Consider the following 18,331-nt stretch of genomic DNA (forward strand, 5'->3'; position numbering starts at 1 on the left):
GTTTTAGTATAACCTGATAGTGTGAAGTCCCATAATACCGTCGTACCTGAGGCTTGGGTTTCAGTCAGCCAAGGGTCCCCAACCCCTGGGCTGGGTACCAGTACCGGTCCATGGCTTGTTAGGAACCGGACCGCCCAGCAGGAGAGGAGCGGCAGGCGAGAGAGCGTTACTGCCTGAGCCCCACCTCCCGTCAGATCAGCGGCAGCCTTGGAATCTCCTAGGAGCACGAACCTGGTCTAAACTGCACATGCTGAAGGGTCTAGGTTGCGTGCTCCTTATGAGAATCTAATTCCCGATGAACTGAGGTGGAGCAGTTTCATCTCAAAACCTTCCCCTCAACCCCTGGTCTGGTGGGAAAATTGTCTTCCACGAAACTTCTTTCCCCGGTGCCAAAAAGGTTGGGGACTGCTGGAATCAGCCACTGATAGTTCCACACTGCTTGGCGCTGTTACCTCAATTGAGATCCATTTTCGAGTCATATCCATGTGTAGGGTTTATCATATCAAACTGGAAAGACCTGGACTTCCCCAGAGGAACGGTGTTCTGGATTGTTTCACGAGCCCCAAATAAATTCTGAAAGTTTTGTTTTTTTGTTTTTTTGTTTTTTTTGAGACAGAGTCTTGCTCTGTTGCCCAGGTTGGAGTGCTGTGGCACCATCTCTGCTCACTGCAGCCTCCATCTCCCAGGCTCAAGCAATTCTCATGCCTCAGCCTCCTAAGAAGCTGAGATTACAGGCATGTGCCACCACACCCGGCTAATTTTTGTAATTTAACTAGAGATGGGGGTTTTGCCATGTTGGCCAGGCTGGTCTCGAACTCCTAACCTCAAGTGATCCCCACCCCCCCCCCCCACCTTGGCCTCCCAAAGTCCTGGGATTACAGATGTGAGCCACTGCACCTGGCTCTGAAAGCTGTTTTTAAAATAGTGAATTAATCTTGTTCCTCCTGAGCACACAATGTGACAATATTTCAGTAATAAAATAAATGTGGTAAATCTGTGTTTCTGGTATCCATGTACATTTGAATATAGGAGAAAACTATCTGCTTGCCCACACTGCTAACTGCATCTGTACTGGTCTCCCTTACCAAAAAGAAGATCCATAAGTTCAGCCCAACACTCAGTCTTTCACCTAAGTTAAGCTGCGGTTCAGCTGAGTTGGACAAGTCCAGCAGCACCCCAGGGGCTCCATGCCTTTATCTTGTGGCACCCACTCATTCTGCATGGCAGGAAAAATGCAGCCCTGAAAGCACTAGTGGAAAATGCAGACTTTCTCATAGGTATATTAATGTTTTTGAAGATTGACATTTACAACGCGTGACTTCGATGTACATAGCACCAGATAGTTGTGAGTTTTGACAAGCTGTATGTTTCACTCTGCAGTGAGGACTTTTAAAATGGCTGCCCATTTGCTTGGTCATGTAGTGGTGGCTGCAGCTGTACGGCTGTGAATAGATGCATTCATGTTTGTAGTTACCATGATGATCTTTATGTTGGCACCAGAGTCAGTGAACCAATGTGCTTCTGATGAAAGATGAAGAAAGCTGAACGGTGCTGGAAAGTAGAAGAGAGGGAGGGAATGGACCCTGATTGACAGAGATGAGTTACGGTAACTGCTAGACTACAGAGAGAGATAATTAGTCACGCTATGTTGGTTTCAATAGATCTAACACCTGGTTGTTAAAAAGAGTAAATTGATTAATTGTTTTAAGGCAGCAGTGTTAGTGAGTTTCCCCAGTGTTTATGTTTCTTAATAGAGATTGGACATGAATATGGATTTACAGCCCCAGCTCTGGGGACCTTCAGTCCATCAGTAGGGAGTAGCAACCAACCCTGGAAATGCAGAGTAAACTGAATTTGTCCCCAGTTTAATGAGGGAGTTACTTTGCTCTCACCGTCTCCACTTTGCCCTTGTGTGTTCATCCGCAGCTCCTGCAGCAGGCCACCTCCTCCAGCAACCTGGGTGCGTTCAGCGGCATTCAACAAATGGCAGGTAAGTCAGGAAGCACGCCTCTCCTTTTGACCGTGCTATTGTCAGAATTTGGGGTTGGTTCCGAGGGCAAAGACAAGAAGCAGGGGAAGAGAACCAAGAATGATGATCAGACTTGTTAGCTTTCTGTCTTTGGTGTTAACGTTGGAACCGCCTGCTCTGAAGTGTCTCTGTTATTTCTTAGGTTACCTACCCACCTTCGCTGTGCATGACCGCTATAGAATGAAGGGGCTGAGAAATCCTGATTGGCATCTATATCAACAAATGATTATATCAACGACTCTCTAGTCATTTGTTGTTTTTATAAATAAGATTGATTACTGGGGGCTTTCCATCCAGATTCCTATATCTAGGGCAGCCAAATGATTGACAGCCCTCTAAAATTTTAATAATAGACAGTCAATAAAAATGTTCTGACCTCCGTAATGAAAGCCAGGATTGCAGGCCTATCTTTGATGCAGTTTGCAGCCCCTTGATAACGACAGACAATTAACAGGGTGCCTTTTTACCGTAGTGCCCCAGTTGACAGAATCATGCATCAGAAGCTTTTATGTGAAAGTGGAATCTTTGTTCTGGAGAAAATCAAAGTGTGACTGTATTTGAAAGCCAGCTCGTTGAAGGATTCCTTCTTCTAATGAGCTGCGCCAGTAGTAACTGAGGTGTGGTGATTAGCGAAAGGTCACTCCTGCCGTGCCACCTTCCGTGCCGATTTCCCTACCTAACACGGGGCCAGGGAAGGCAGCGAGCGCAATAAATCAGAACACAGGTGCCCATTAACCTGCCGTGAGGAACGGTCAGAGAGCCTTTTCCTTGTTTCATTCCAAAAAGGTGGGGGGAGAGAGCAAGGAGAACAGGTTTTTGGCATATTAGAACCAAGCACGGTTTGTGTTAATCAAGGACACCCTGAATCAGTGCAATGAAACCTACATGTGCAGAATGAAGCGTTTTTTCGTTGTCATCATGAAAACTCCTTTTTTTCTACCTTTCTGTTTCTTTTTTTAAATATGTATCCTTGGGGTTTGTTTATTTTTTTTTTCTTGTTTCACTTCAAATGAATCTGGAAAAACTTTCCAGGGGGCTTCTCCCTGGGTGTGGTGTGTGATCGGCAGCCCCGCCGTTGTGGCCCGAGGCTCCTGGAAGCTCATCAGCTGATGGTCTTCCTTGGCCTGTAGTAAAAATACTGCTGAATTCCTCGTTGGGCTTTAAATCCATTGGCACTGCCACCTGGTTCCGTTGTAACATAGCTTTTGGATTATTAGAAATAGGAATAACTTGATAGTTAAATCATTCAGCAGCATCTTTACGAATATGGTTTGGGAAGCTGGCCTTGGAGCTAAGAATCACATTGAATGGTTAATTTATTTTTAATTCTATGAAAGGAGCTGGAGAGAGAGAAGTAAAATATTCAGGGGATTTTCTGTGTTTTAAAAGAGAAAACCTCCTGATTGCAAGCTCTAAAATAAATGCTAAGATTTGTCACACTTTCAGCCCACGGGAGATTTGCTTTTCTCGCATAGTATGGACTCACCAGGATCTGAAATTAGGGGCTTTCCTTAGAGGTGGCCTCAGGCTTTCCTACCCCCACAGTTGGATTATGCAGAGAAGGTCACTGGGTCCTGAGGCTGCTGCCGAGCGTGCTGTCCCGGGTGGACAGCGTGCCCTGTCATCTTTCATTAGGATGTGTGTGCCTGTGCCGCACCAGCCACAGGTCAGGATGCCAGCCCCTGCACGCTCTGCGTGCTCATTTGAAAACTGAGGGTATCTGGGAAGTCACCTTACAAGGTGCCGAGGAGCAGATGGCTAATTTAAAGGCAATCTGTATGTGCTCTGAGCCTCCCAAATTATCCATTTCTTGAATCCTCAATGTGTGAAATTCAGCACACTAAGTCCTCACAGGCTAGGAAATCAAATGCTGGACAGGCCATTCCCTACCATCATCTGGAGTATTCAGAGTATTTGGAATATTCACAGTCTTCAAGGTGTAGCTGTCGGGCTCTGTGAAGGATACCTTGCATTTATAGGGATCGTCAGGTCTCCTCTTCCTACGTATTTGAAGTATTATGGCTTGGAGTACTTTCTCCACCAATGAAGAAAAGTTTATATGGCCTCTCCTACGCTCTTGTCTTGTCCCAAAAGTAGGGCTTAACTCTGTCCTTGCCATCAATCTGTGCACATGTTATGGAGTGACCATGGTGAATGGGCGATAGAGGTTCCTTCCTAGGAGAAACTTTCCCAGCTTCCCCGAATGTGAGAGGGGCGCCTCTCTCCCGAATTCCCCAGAGCCCTTTCCTCCCTTCCCTCTGCCCTCACCTCCCTGGATGCTTCAGGATACTCTGTGGATACTCTTCCGTGCTCCAGGAGAGCATGGCCCCGTGGCTGATAGACTCAGCTCTCACCCCTCTAAGAGCTGCTCATGAGTATCCTCGAGTGGATGAGTGAACAGATTTCTAACTCAACAGACATAAATCCCCAGTGGAGCTTAAGTTAAATGCCTGGTTTTTAAATTAAGAAATATGACTTCAGCAATATGTATAAACCAAAGGAACATTAAACTAATGATAGTATCTTTACAAATGAGTTGTTGAGGATTTGGAGATAGTTTGTATAACATAAAACATAACAAATACAGTAGAAAGCATATGGTAGTGGGATTGAAGAAACCCGAGAGGTTATTTATCCCAAACACCACCTGATGTTACAGTGCTTATTGAGTGATTGATACTGTGTCCTACGTAGAGGGGGCACATAAACAATTCACATGTAATTTTTCTGTATTACATTGACAGATATATATAAAATGATCTCTGCATCTAAAATTCAAGCAGTCCAGCCTGGAATACTATCACCAAAAAGTGAAAACTGATTTTAGAAACGAATAATATTTTGTTGTGAACAACTCTGAAAACATACTGGTCGATGAGGTTTATAGCTAGAGTCTAAAATGCCACATTTATATGGGTGAAACATTTTCAGCTTCAGGAGAAAATAAAACCAAAAAAAAGAAAGAGAAATTTTAGACGACTGGATCCTAAGTAGTTGCATGTATAAAATTGAATGAGACGTCAGCTATACTTCCTTTCCCAAAAAATCTTACCATTTTCCCTTCAAACTAAAAATAACTTCAAGTGTGCTTTATGGTTTTTATCCAAGAGAACCTTTATGAAATATGGAATTTAGAAGCAGAAAATGGATTAGGAACATACCTTTATAAATTGACGGCTTTTATATCTACTTTTTGTGCCTCCTTGGAGTTGGTTGGTTTTTATTTTCCCTCTTAAAACTTCTAATGAAAACTTGTCCATTTCTCTCTCAGCGGTGATATTTGTTCAGTGAATTTCAGAAATCTCAGAAACTTGGGGTCTGAGTTTGGGCTGAGAGCTGGGATTTTTCTTGAAAGAGAAAGGGAGTAAGAGAAAGTGTCTTCTCTGCCTTTAATTTGTTTATAACAACTATCAACTCAGAAGATCATATAACAGAAAAACAAGGGGTAGTGTTTTACCATTTTGTTTTTAACAAAGCTCCTTTTAAAAATCATGCAGCTGTCCTCATAGCAAGCTAAGGACGTGACTACCACTTTGTTACTACATTACGGTTGGAAAAAGGGAAGATGAAAAGGTTCAGTGAGTAATGTGAGACCACAGCACTAGTCAATGACCTAACAAGGATTAGGGTATAGAATTCCCAAATATCACAACAACCTGATGAAGTAGGGACTCTAAGTTAGCCCACCGCATGGCCGGGCAACTGAGGCTTAGAGAGATGAGCAGACTTGTCCAAAGGCACTAAGCTAGTAGGTGGCAGGACCAAGCTTCAGGTCCGGCTCACTGATGCAAACCCAGGCTGGCAAACCGTGCTCTGTGTCTCAGCCCCTTGAGGTGTGTTTCACGGCCCCCACACTGTTAGGAAGCACTTCAGAGGTGGTAACAGGAAAGCTGCCTCCCTTCATCCTGGAAAACATCTCAAGTTTATCATGAGTGAGTTTTTCTTTTTAGGGGGGATTTTTTTCTAGGATAAAGAATTGTTACTAAACCAGTTCCAGAGGTTCTGAAGCTGCGGCGGAAGTGTCTTTTGATGAACGGGAGGAAACTGCTTCGTTTCAATTCTGATTCTGAGTAAAGCAAGTAGTAATTCCCTTCCAGAATATCTGGTCTAAGTTTTGAAGGTAACAATAACATTATGGAGTGCAAATATTTGCTTAAAACCATGAAGCAGCTCTTCATTTATCAACTTGAGATCTGTTCTCTTAGAAGACTGTCTTGGTGTCTAGCACGAGTGGAGAGGAGGGAGACATTTGCAAAAACAGTGTATCGGAGGTCTGAGAATGTCGAATTGGAGGCGCTCCCGGAGTGGTGAAGTGTGCTTGGTACATCCACAAAGACTCACGCAGAACTTGGTTCCTCCCCAAGCTGAGTCTCCAGCAGTCCACACTGCAGGCCTTATGAGAACGTTCTATAACCACCCATCTGTCACTTTTTAACAGACCTGATTGGCAAGCACTTGTAACAACTGACATCTGTTCATGCTTATTGATATGCAGATTTATGGTAATTGCTATGAACAATAAGACACAAAATTACCTAAGGTGAACATTAAATTAAATTTTCATGCCCTTCTCCTTATAAATAATTTTTTTTAAATCTTAAGTTTCAAGTAGGCATATTGCGCATCTGTTTGGTACATAATTTCTTCGTTTTGAGAAGGATATTTTTCCCCAAGTATTGAATGAAAGTTGAATCCCTGTATTCTCAACTTTCTTTGCCATCTTCTTAGCCCATCGTTGAGTTCCTAAAACTTACTGAAATGTTTTGCATGTTCAGTCACCCAGTTTATTGCCCCTGGTTCGAGAGGTGCCCATCTGAGCAGAGTGCTTCATGAAGTCAAATGCAGTTTTTCTTCTCGGAAAGGAACCGTTTGCCAAGCACGCGCCCTTGCCTCTCGGTCTGGTGCCCTTTCAGGATGAGCGTGTGGGATAAAGTGTGACTTGGGGTGCAGACTGAGGAGGCGCCTGGGAGAGGGGCTGAGATGGGGAAAGGACGGGGCACCCACATACCTCAGAAAAGAGAGAGCGACAGAGGGGAACCAGAAAGAGGACTTCCGGATGAGCGGAAGTGAAGCCCGCTGTTAGTTCTGGGGAGGAATAAGGGGAGTTGCAGGAGAGGCCCCGCGCCCCATCCAGGAGCAGGCCTGCGCCTGACACCTGTGCCCGAGAAGCCTAGTCCGGCTAAGAAGGGAGAGGGAACCTCTGTCCTCACCCAGATGCCCTGGCTGGTGTCCGCACATCAGGCCAGTGCCTTTCCCCAAAACCGTTTCTCCCCCGCATAGGAGGGGAAGGCAGGCAGGTGCGATGTCCACGTTCCGGGTGATGGCGCTGTGGCTGTGGATCCATCTGTGGTGGGAGGAGCCAAGACATCAGCCACCAGGGACGTGCATCGTTGCCAGGGAAGGGCCCAGGAACACTGGGGCCAAGACAGTCCCCACGCTCTTCTCGCCCCGGGTTATTACTGTGGTGTGACAGAGCATGAGATGGTCAGTAGCACCTAGAAGATCGGTAGGTGCAGGGATGTCCATGGGGCAGGATGGACAGAGGACACATGGGCCACGGCCTCTGCCTGGCTGAGTGGACAGAGGCCGCTCTGGGTGGGGGAAACGGTGCCCTCACTGCCCTCCAGCCTCAGTCCTGGTTGGAGTGAGATGCCCAAGAGGCAGGGGAGGTCCTAGGGCTCTGAAGGGCTGCTCTCTAGGGCTTCCTGGCGCCAGCCTCCACTGGGTCCTTCCCCATTGACACCTGTGCCCAGGAAGGTAGCTAAGAATGGAGGAGCTCGGGCTCGCCTGGCTGCTTCTGATGCTGGCGTGCGTGTGCATGCCTGTGTGCGTGTGTGTGTGTGTGTGTGTGTGTGTGTGTGTTCAGAATGGGAGGAGGCACTGTCTTCATCCTCCCTCTTCTCCGTGTCCTCACTCCTCAGCTCTCATTTCTTCCTGATGGCCCAAGTCACTGCCCCACCCCCAGGCTGTCATGCAGTGATTTTCCACTACCACTTGTATCTCTTTCAGATTGTCAAAAGAGGTCAGAAGTTCTTCAGCTTTTTAGGAGCTGTCACCAAACACATTTTGCATGCACATCACACACATACTTTTTCATAAAATGTCAGAGTTTGTGGAGACCCTGAACCCTGTCAGGGACCTCTGCCTCAGAAGCACCAAGTTCAGGGGACTGACGTGGGGTAGATGAAGAACACGACGAAGAGCACTGAGGCAGCGGCGGACGAGGGTCTGTCTGGTCACTGAAGCAGCTAGAGCCAGTGGTTTGTGGTATCTGGGATTCTGGGGATGGATGCAGAAGGAAATCACGTTAAGAAACTAGGCCAGGTGTGGCGGCTCACACTTGTAGTCCCAGCACTTTGGGAGGCAGAAGCAGGCAAGGATCACTTGAGCCCCGGAGTTCCCGACCAGCCTGAGCAACACAGCAAAACCCCTTTCCTACAAAAGTTAGCTGGGTGTGGTGGCAAGCGCCTGTAGTCCCAGCTACTCAGGAGGCTGAGGTAGGAGGATCGCTTGAGCCTGGGAGATGATGGCTGCAGTGAGCCATAATTTCACTCCAGCCCGGTGACGGAGCAAGACCCTGTCTCAAAAAATATATATGTATGTTAATTGCCAAATTGATTGAGAGAGCAAAACGTAGTACATAGTTAAGTAGTTAGTGGTTAACTGGTTAACCTAGTTCTTAGTTACAAATGAAGACACGATCACAAGTTCATTCCCAGACCTCTGGCATTCAGGCGAGTTGCACAAAATTCGTACTGGCCCCAATGTTCTTGGACCCTGGGGCAGGGAGCGGCACTTCATGGTGAAGCAGCGCTAGACTGGAATCCGCCCCAGCTCTCACATCTGTTCATACTGTTGTGGTGGGGCGAGCAAGGCCACTCCCAGTGGATATGGGGACCTGGGGGGTAGAGTTAACTTCTGGGCCCCTGTCACATTGCCTTTCGAAACCCTATGCTGGACCAGCCCTTTCCTTCCTCTTCCTCCCCTCCATCCGTCCCTCCCTATCCCTCCCTCCCTATCCCTTCTAAACTTCTCTCAGATGCAAAGTTTAAGGAAGGAAATGGATACCAATGCACAGGAGGAGAAGGAAGAGGTCAGAACAGCTCCAGATGGGGACCGAGAGGGCAGAGGGCAGCCCGTGGGTAGGCCAGGCTGGCAGGGAGAGGACAGGCACCCAGGGAAGGGGCGGGGCTCTCTCAGGGAGTGGCCCTTGGAGAATGGCTCATGGTGTTTTCACCTCTTCATGCCCGTTTCCTCTGTAACATGTAGGAGAGTCACAATGCCCACACCACGTGGATGTGTTAGGAACCCTAGTAGCAGAGCACGGGTAAGGCACTGAGGAGCTTGCCTGGCACGCGCTTTGTTCTTGCTTCTGCTGTCATTGTCGTTTAGGACAGTATTATTGCAGTTATTAGTCTGAGAGCTTCTTTTTTGAGCTTAACTCTGCACTAGGCATTGTTTGAGCTTTCTATGTGTTGACCCATTTAATCTCTTAATCCTCAAGAGGTGAGTTCTACTTCAGTCGCACTTTACACTTGAAAACCCCAAGGTGCAAACAGGTAACGAGCTTGCTCCAGGTAACAGGCTGCCAGTAAGTGAGGCAGAGCCAGCTTTCAGCCCGGGTCATGTGAGAGCAGGACCTGAGCTCTTGCTGACCAGCCTGCGCTGCCTTCGGGAGGTGGTGGTGATTGCTGCTGTTATCCCTGGTGTCACCAGTGGAGCTTGTGTTCCAAGAAACGTGAGGCCCTGCCTCACCTCTGGTGTACAAGCACTTAACTTCTTTTCTCTTTAAGACATGGGGTCTCACTCTGTTGCCCAGGCTGGACTTGAACTCCTGGGCCCAAGCGATCCTTTAGCCTCAGCCTCCTGAGTAGCTGGAACTATAGGCACACGCTACCACACCTGGCTTATGAGCACGCACTTCTGAAAATAAGAGTTGGGAGGACCATGAAAGCCTCATGGGTCAGCACACAAGGACTAGGAGAGGGACAGGCTGGAAGGGATGACATCTCTTGCAGCTTCTCAGCTGGGCTGTGCTTTGCTTTCCTGTGCTTCTCTACCATCCCCATCGAATCAAAGACTTCAGGGAGGATTTCATTCTGAATCTGGGCCTATTTCAAGAAACTGATGAACTGGTGGGATTTCTTCCCCACTCCCTGACATCTCCCTGCTCTGATATCCAGCAATCTGCTCGGGTACACAGACTATCATGTTTTCTACTTTATCCTCAGTGTGTTGCACAGGGTCTAGCCCATCATGGCCACTCAGTAATTACTGGATGGTTGGATGGATGGATGATGGGTAGATAGATGGATGGGTGAGTAGATGATGGGTGAGTGAGTGGGTGGATAATGGATGGATGGGTGATAATGGATGGATGATGAATGGATAGATGGGTGGATGATGGGTGGGTGGGTAGATGGATGGGTGACTAGATGATGGATGGGGGCTGAATGATGGATGGGTGGGTGGGTGGATGCATGGTTGATGGACGATGGGTGGATAATGGGTGGGTGGATGATGGATGGATGGATGGGTGGGTCAAATATGTCCTGGAGGGGGACTCCCTGGCCTGAGCCTAGAATGGTGGCTCTGCTTGTCATTAATCAGTGCCAGATCATAGATGGATGTGGGGTAGATGATGAGTGGATGGGTGGATGGTGGGTGGATGATGGATGGAGTGGATGAGGGATGAGTGTGTGGTGGGTGGATGATGGATGGAGGGGTGGGTGGATGATGGATGACTGTGTGGTAGGTGGATGATGGATGAGTGTGTGGTGGGTGGATGAGGGATGAGTGTGTGGTGGGTGGATGACGGATGAGTGTGTGGTGAGTGGATGAGGGATGAGTGTGTGGTGGGTGGATGATGGATGAGTGTGTGGTGAGTGGATGAGGGATGAGTGTGTGGTGGGTGGATGATGGATGGAGGAGTGGGTGGATGATGGATGACTGTGTGGTAGGTGGATGATGGATGAGTGTGTGGTGGGTGGATGAGGGATGAGTGCGTGGTGGGTGGATGAGGGATGAGTGCGTGGTGGGTGGGTGAGGGATGAGTGTGTGGTGGGTGGATGAGGGATGGAGGGGTGGGTGGATGATGGATGACTGTGTGGTAGGTGGATGCATGGATGAGTGTCGTGGTGGGTGGCTGAGGGATGAGTGTGTGGTGGGTGGATGATGGATGAGTGTGTGGTGAGTGGATGAGGGATGAGTGTGTGGTGGGTGGATGACGGAGGGGTGGGTGGATGATGGATGACTGTGTGGTAGGTGGATGATGGATGAGTGTGTGGTGGGTGGATGAGGGATGAGTGTGTGGTGGGTGGATGAGGGATGAGTGTGTGGTGGGGGATGAGGGATGAGTGTGTGGTGGGTGGATGAGGGATGAGTGGGAGCATGATGGACGGAGGGGTGGGTGGATGATGGATGGATGGTGGGTGAATGATGGATAGATAGATGGATGGGTGGGAGGATCCATACCACAATGAGGGATGGATGGGTGTGCTGATGAAGGATGTGTGAGTGTGTGGATGATGGATGAGTGGATGATGGATGGATGGGTGAGAGGATAATGGATGGATGGGTGGGTGGATGGATAGATAGTTGGGTAGATATGTGGGTGGATGGATGGATGGTGGATGGATGGTGGGCGGATGATGGATGGATGGGTGGGAGAATAATGGATGGATGGGTGGATGATAGGTGAGTGGATGGATGGATAGTTGGGTAGATGTGTGGGTGGATGGGTGGATGGTTGGATGGTGGTTAGATGATGGATAGATGGGTGGGAGCATCTATTCCACAATGAGGGATGGATGAGTGTGTGGATGAGAGATGGATGTGTGGATGACGGATGGGTGGGAGGATAGTGGATCTGTGGATGGATAATTAAGTGGATGGATGGATAGTTGGGTGGTTACGCGGAATGATGGATGGATGGATGGGTGGGTGGGTGGATGGGCGGATGATGGATATATGGATGGATGGTTGGATGGATGGATGGGCAGATAGATGGACGAGCAAATATGGATCCGCCTCCTTGATTGGTTCTGACTAACTCTTCTTCTCTCCTTTTGTCCTCACATCCCTCAGATGCTGGGGATCACAGTGTCCTCTCCTTTCCACTCTTCATCTCAGCTTCCTTGACTCATAGTTTTTCCTTTCCTTGCAGTCTGGCTGTTGAGCAGTGTTAGCTATGCCCCCGTGTGGTGCCTCAGAGACTCAGCCACTCCCCCTGGACTTTCCAGGCGGCAGCAGGGAAAGGCTTAGGAGAATGTCAGAAACTGTTGGATGGTAAAGTGTGTGGAGGAGAAATGAAGAGGAGGACACCCAGGCCCTTAGCCCTGGATCCTAAAGGAGCGGGCAGTGGAGAGAACCTGAGTGCTGTCAGCTCAGTTCCAGGACCTTTAGTGAATGTCAGTGGGTGAGAGAAGGACTAAACATGGGCCCTAGTAAGTATCTGTACAGTGGATTAGTTAATGATTGAGAGGAAACAGCCAATATTTGATGCTGTTGTAAATACCAAAGAACTAATAAATAATGGGGAAAACTAAAACCTTGGCTAGCTCTGTACAGACAATACTCTTCAGAGCAATTTATGTAAATGTCAAACTTGTCTGTTACCCTGTTTGTTTGTCTTACATAGATTTGCTCATCACCTACTATATATATTGGTGTGTGTGTGTGTGTGTGTGTGTGTGTGTGTGTGTGTGTGTGTGTGTGTGTTTTTACATGGACTTGAAAATGAGTAAGACATAATTTTTGTCCTAAAGGAACTTGGTATCTGGTTGGGAGGGCAAGAAATACATATAAATAATGTCAACATAGGGTATGATGAGAGCCACGAAAGAGTTATAAACAAACAGATAAAGAAATTTGCAGCTAACAGAGAAAGCGTGTGCATTAAATGTAAACCCTGTCTCCTTAGGAGGAGGCTATGGGATGGGGCAGAAGGCTCTGCCAAGGCCCAGGAGGGTCTCCTCCATGGCTGTGAGGCCTTGGCCAGGGACCTCATGTCTCTGACCCAAGTGGGCCAGCTGAGCCAGGCCATCAACACAGCTCCATCACTGAGGCTCCTACCTGGGAGGGTCATATATGTCCTGGAGGGGGACCCGCTGGCCTAAGCCTAGAATGGTGGCTCTGCCTGTCATTAATCGGTGCCATATGCATATTGTAGGCTTTGATTTTGGTGCTAAGCCCTGTTCTTGTGTGCTCAGCCATATGTTGGTGGTGTGGTCTGGTCATGGTTCACGTTAGAGGAAGCACACATCATGAGAGAGCCCAGAGGGCATGGACAGACCTGCGTGAATGTACCTCATTCCTTGCAAGACCTCGCACAGCCTTGGTGCTCCCTCACACTCAAGTCAAACATGCATTCATGTGTTTGTAGGAAACAGCCCCTTGCTGGGGCCATGTTGGTCTGCAGTAGGGCCAGGCAATTTGCATATTTCCTCCATTTTCCTAAAGTAAAACTGAAAAATGAGACCAGGGCCTCTCAACACCCACGTTCTCATGAATATGGCACTGTGTGACCCTTGACGAGAGAAAACCAGAGAGTGCTTTCTTTTGATTATGTTCACTTGATGAAGCAAGGTTGCCAGAAGTCTGCCCTTTTCTTGCAGAAATTCACAGGATTACACAATACTTCTGTCCCACTTTCAAGCATCCCTGTGAAATAAGTAGGTTTTGAAAAGCAGGTGCTTGGCTTTCAACCTAAGCCAAAAGGTCTGGATGTCTCCTGGAAGAAGACAGAGTATCACTTTGGACAAAATGCAAATCCATTTAGCAACCAAGACAGGAGGAACTTTTTTCTAAGTGGAAATGCACCCTGGTTGAGGAGGCCAGGGCAGAAGAGTGCTGTCTAGAGCACTCAGCAGCCAGGCACTGAGCTGCGCCCGTGGCTGGGGGCTTACACATGTATGTTGCTAGAACATTCTCTCATCCCTCCACCAGCGCCCCTACACACACATTACGGAAGCAGCTCTCAGGGCACTCTCCCTAAAGAAGACTGAATTTGCTCCGTAGATATTGATTAAGTATCTGGACTTAAGACCAGAGAAGAAGGTAAAATGAAGCTGAAGTCCACCATCTTTCTATCTTCAGTTCCTCTGTGTAGGGAGAGAACCATTGTTTCATGCTTCTCACATGTGCAGTCTTCTGGTAAAGTGAATCATAGAAACATAATTTGACCATTCAGAGAACCTTTGGACTGAGAGATGGAAGCGGGCTACAGGGAGAAAAGATAGTTAAACTAACTATCCGGTGTAGACACCAGGGCTGAGCCCACCCCTAGATTGTTGCCCCAAATCTCTCAGCTAATCCCACTCTTATCTTCATGCTAATTTTCATTTCTATTTTTTTCATAATTTTCATGAGTCACACATTTATTCTAGTTAAAGTCCCTCTTTTAAAATATAAATCGCTTTAAAAGGTAAATACAAATATTTTACAAATAAAACTATTAAGGTGCAGCCATTTCTATTCAGTCATTCTTGTGTTCATCAAATATGAAATTTGAACTCCCTATGGACACATTTTAGGGTTCACACTTGAATCCAGAGAGAGAAGTTCAATGGCAATAGCAATAACAAAAATAAAAGGTGACATTCATTGAGCTCTTAACGTTGTGCCAAAGTAATTTGCTTTCATCATCTTATTTAATCTGCACAACAACCCTTCAAGGTGGGGTTCAGTTAATGCTGCCATTCACTGTCAAGAAATAGATTAACAGGCTTAGAACCCATACCAGTTCAGCTTCCAGTAAAATGTAGTTTCTTCTGAAATACCTCGTTTTGAGGGACTGAGTTTACCTTGAAGCCCTTCCTCCAGCTGCTGCCACATCTCACCATGTCTTGGCAGCTATGTCATAGAAGCTGCCAGTCCACAAGGCCCTACTGTGGCCAGTCAGCACTGAAATCTCTCCTCTTTTCCACTTATCTCTACAGCATGGCAGGAAGGCCTTGGGCTGAGAATACTGGTTAGCGAGGGAGAAGCGCAGGCTCTGCCAGGGAGAACTACGGGGTGGGATTCAGGCTCCTTTCTGGGTATGTGGTCTCTAGGAAGAGCAATTGCATCAGAGAGAACTGAAGGAGAGGTGGCCTTGGAGGAGAGGGCTGGAGAGCCCAGCTCCCACCCAGGCAGGTGACCTTGCACAGGGTCGTCTGCTCTCATCATGTGTCCTGACGATTTGATGAGCCTGCTCTTGTTTGGAAACTGTAGAAGTGTGAGGCCTGTTGCTGAAAGTAACTTTCTCTTCCCTCCACAGGCATGAATGCTTTACAGTTGCAGAACCTGGCGACGCTGGCTGCTGCTGCAGCTGCGGCCCAGACCTCAGCCACCAGCACCAATGCAAACCCTCTCTCTACCACGAGCAGCGCCCTGGGAGCCCTCACGAGTCCCGGTGAGTGTGGGGGGTGCTCTTCCCTTGCAGGTGATGCAGCAGGAGTGGCAGGTAGGTTTCCGTGCCTCCAGGTGCGAGGGTGAGGCTAGACGTGTCCAGGATGGAGCCGGGATACTATACTGGGCTGCTTTATGTCATTGGGTTATTTTATTTTTAAAAATGGTCAAAGTTCGAATTTGTCTTTTATTTTCCATGGATAATATGCAAAAAAGTTTTCAGTGAGAATCCACTGTGCAAGCCGTTCTCACACATTCACTCTGTTTTAAACACTAGTCCATTCAACACTAGTTAAGTTGTTACCACTGTGAAGAGCCTCCGTCTCTTAGTCTTTCTTTGTCCTGCCCTTTTCCAAAAAATAAGACAATGTAAGAATTCTGTTTCAAAATTCCTAGTCATTCCCATGTCACATTTCACAGCAACTCCATCCATCACATTTGATTTTAAAATCCACGGTCCAGTAAGGAACATGTTTGCTCATTTCTGGTCAGGCTCTGGGGTGTGTCATTTAAAGTCTTTTTTTCTTCACAAATTTTGTTGCCTTGTTGTTCAAAAGCAGATGCCAGTTGTCTTTTCATACAAGCCAGATAGAATGTGGTTGCTTAGATACCGTGATTTGAGGTTTTGTTTTGTTTTTTTTTAATTTAAAAAAGTCGAACGTTTCACTGGCTTTCCATCTCTGAGTTTTCCAGACCTCAATAGATGGTCTCACCTCCTTTTCTGTTACATGAAGGAGATGGCCTGGACAGTTTCCAAGCTTCCTTCTAACTTTCAAAATCCCATGACCCCCTATCAGCTGCGCCCCAAGGATTAGCTAAGTGTTGGAAAAACGTTAATGAAAAAATAGCTTCAGGAAACACACATCGAAAACTACAGCCCACTCCACGCTGGCTGTTTTAGGGCTTTTGACTTGAGGGAGGAATGAGGCAGGTTCCTAGAGCTGGCAGTTCTCAAAAGAGCAGTTGCCCTTTGTCTCTGCATAAAACATTGTGTATCTAAGACATTTCACCTGGGGGATTGTTTCGAGGGAGAAGTCTGAGAGATGTTTAGGAGAAGCTGGTGGATTTCCCTGTAATGTGCTGAGATCGCATGGCAGGTGTATTGACTTCACTGTGTACAGTGTCTTCAAAAACATACCGTTACTGTATGAGGGCCTTATCTAATATAATAAACACTATTCCTGAAAAATCAACTTTGTCACCCTTAATTTCAGGAAGTTAAGTGATAGCTTCAGTGCAACACATCAACTTACTTAAGTAAATCCTGTAACGATCCCTTTTGAGAAATAAACATTTTTAACATGATAGATTTCCCCTTCATAAAAATAAGTCATTTTTTTAAAAACATGAAAATTAGACCCTCCCAACTTAGATTTCACAAATCAGATTAAAATGTATTTTCTTAAGAGGGATTTTTTTTCTCCCCTGTGAGCACTTTGATTACCCCAAAATAGCACTGAGTATTGTGAATGCATTTTGGAGCATCTTCAGTCCAAAGGAGGCTTGACAGTTTAAGAAGCCAAATGCAGAAGCAGCTGTCGGCTGATTGGTGTAGCTAAGATAACTCAAAAATCATATCCCAAAAGCGCTTTGTGGTGTGAGCAGGACAGATGTGCTGCCTACCTTCGGGAGTCCTTCAGTCCTTCAGGGACTTGGACAAGAAGCAAAGCAATGAGTGTCAGATCTGTGACAGAATCCCACTGAACAAGGGGAAAGGGGACTGGAGGAGGTGACCCCTCTCTCAAAAGGTGACCTTTGAGCAGAGACCTGAGTTCCGTGACGGAAGCCATGGCGCGTGTTGAGGCAGAGGACAGAGCCAGTGGGTGGGGGAGAGCGGAGTGGGGGCTCTGTGGTGGACCGCGTCCGTTCCAGCCCACGTTGGGAGGAGTGTGAGCTTGTTGCAACCTTCTTAAAATGTGGGCTACTGGAGATCATGCCACTGCACTCCAGCCTGGGCGACGAGCGAGACTCCGTCTAAAAAAAAAAAAAAAATGTGGGCCACTCAGACGGTCTAGGGCGACGGCCTAGGTGTTAGTCGGAAAGGAATTTTAAATGTATGTGACTATTTTCAATTTCTTCCTGAGACTGCAGTGGAGGAAAATGTGTTGTGGGATGAGCCTTCCTCCCTGCTGGAGTCAAAACCACACCAGCGCAGCGTCCTTGCCTTGACTGCTCTGTAAGAGGCTTCTTGCCCTTCAGAACACGCCGCTCGCTTAGGTGTCACTGAGAGCGATTTTTCTCTTCTCTACTGAGGAATGCTTTGCATAATAACTGAAAGTATTTTATTAGAATCCTAAAGTGTAGCAGCAGCAATGATTGAAATCTACATTTCAATTATTTTTCTTAAGTGTAACTAAAAAATCTGATGTTTAAGTGAAAGTAAATTATTTGTCTAATTTCCATCAGGGACTTTTTGAAAGTCACAGAAAATGTGGTTAGTAGAATTCATGAATCTCCACTTCATCAAGGCAGTTTCCTAGAAGATAAAAGGGGTTGAAAGCCATTCCCAAGGCCATTGCCATTATTTACTTTTTAAATAATAATAAACTGGGCATACTATTTGGACCATGAGCCAGTTCACTTGCCCTGTGAGTTGAAGGGAAGCCTCATCCCATCTCTCCTCCACAGGCCTGGGGTTTACCCTGTTTTTAAGCGTGTCTCTTAAGCTTCAGACAAATTCATCTGGAAAGCAAAGGGACAATTCAATCCCCCAAACTGTTAATTTTTTTAATAATTGTAAATTTATCATTTCAATTTTGCATACCCAGGAAAAGTCTCCCTACAGCATTATTATAAATGATTTTAAACAGTCTTGGCTTTAAAACATGAAAGATTAAGTCTTAATTTTTGTTAAAAAAAAATCCCCTCAGGCAATAAATAGGTTCCTTTGTCTCATGGCCTTGAAATAAAAAT

General features: G+C 46.8%; 1 protein-coding gene across 70 annotated transcripts in view; it reads left to right on the forward strand.

Moving 5' to 3' along the window:
* CELF2 (CUGBP Elav-like family member 2) overlaps positions 1 to 18,331 on the forward strand; it is an 874,126-nt gene that overhangs the window by 810,581 nt on the left and 45,214 nt on the right. For all 70 annotated transcript variants that reach the window (XM_047424494.1, NM_001326323.2, NM_001326320.2 and 67 more), the window contains 2 exon segments: positions 1,927 to 1,990; positions 15,288 to 15,422. In XM_047424494.1, coding sequence (XP_047280450.1) covers positions 1,927 to 1,990; positions 15,288 to 15,422 — 199 coding nt within the window.

Source organism: Homo sapiens, chromosome 10 (assembly GCF_000001405.40).
Source record: "Homo sapiens chromosome 10, GRCh38.p14 Primary Assembly".
NCBI classification, from domain to species: Eukaryota; Metazoa; Chordata; class Mammalia; order Primates; family Hominidae; genus Homo; species Homo sapiens.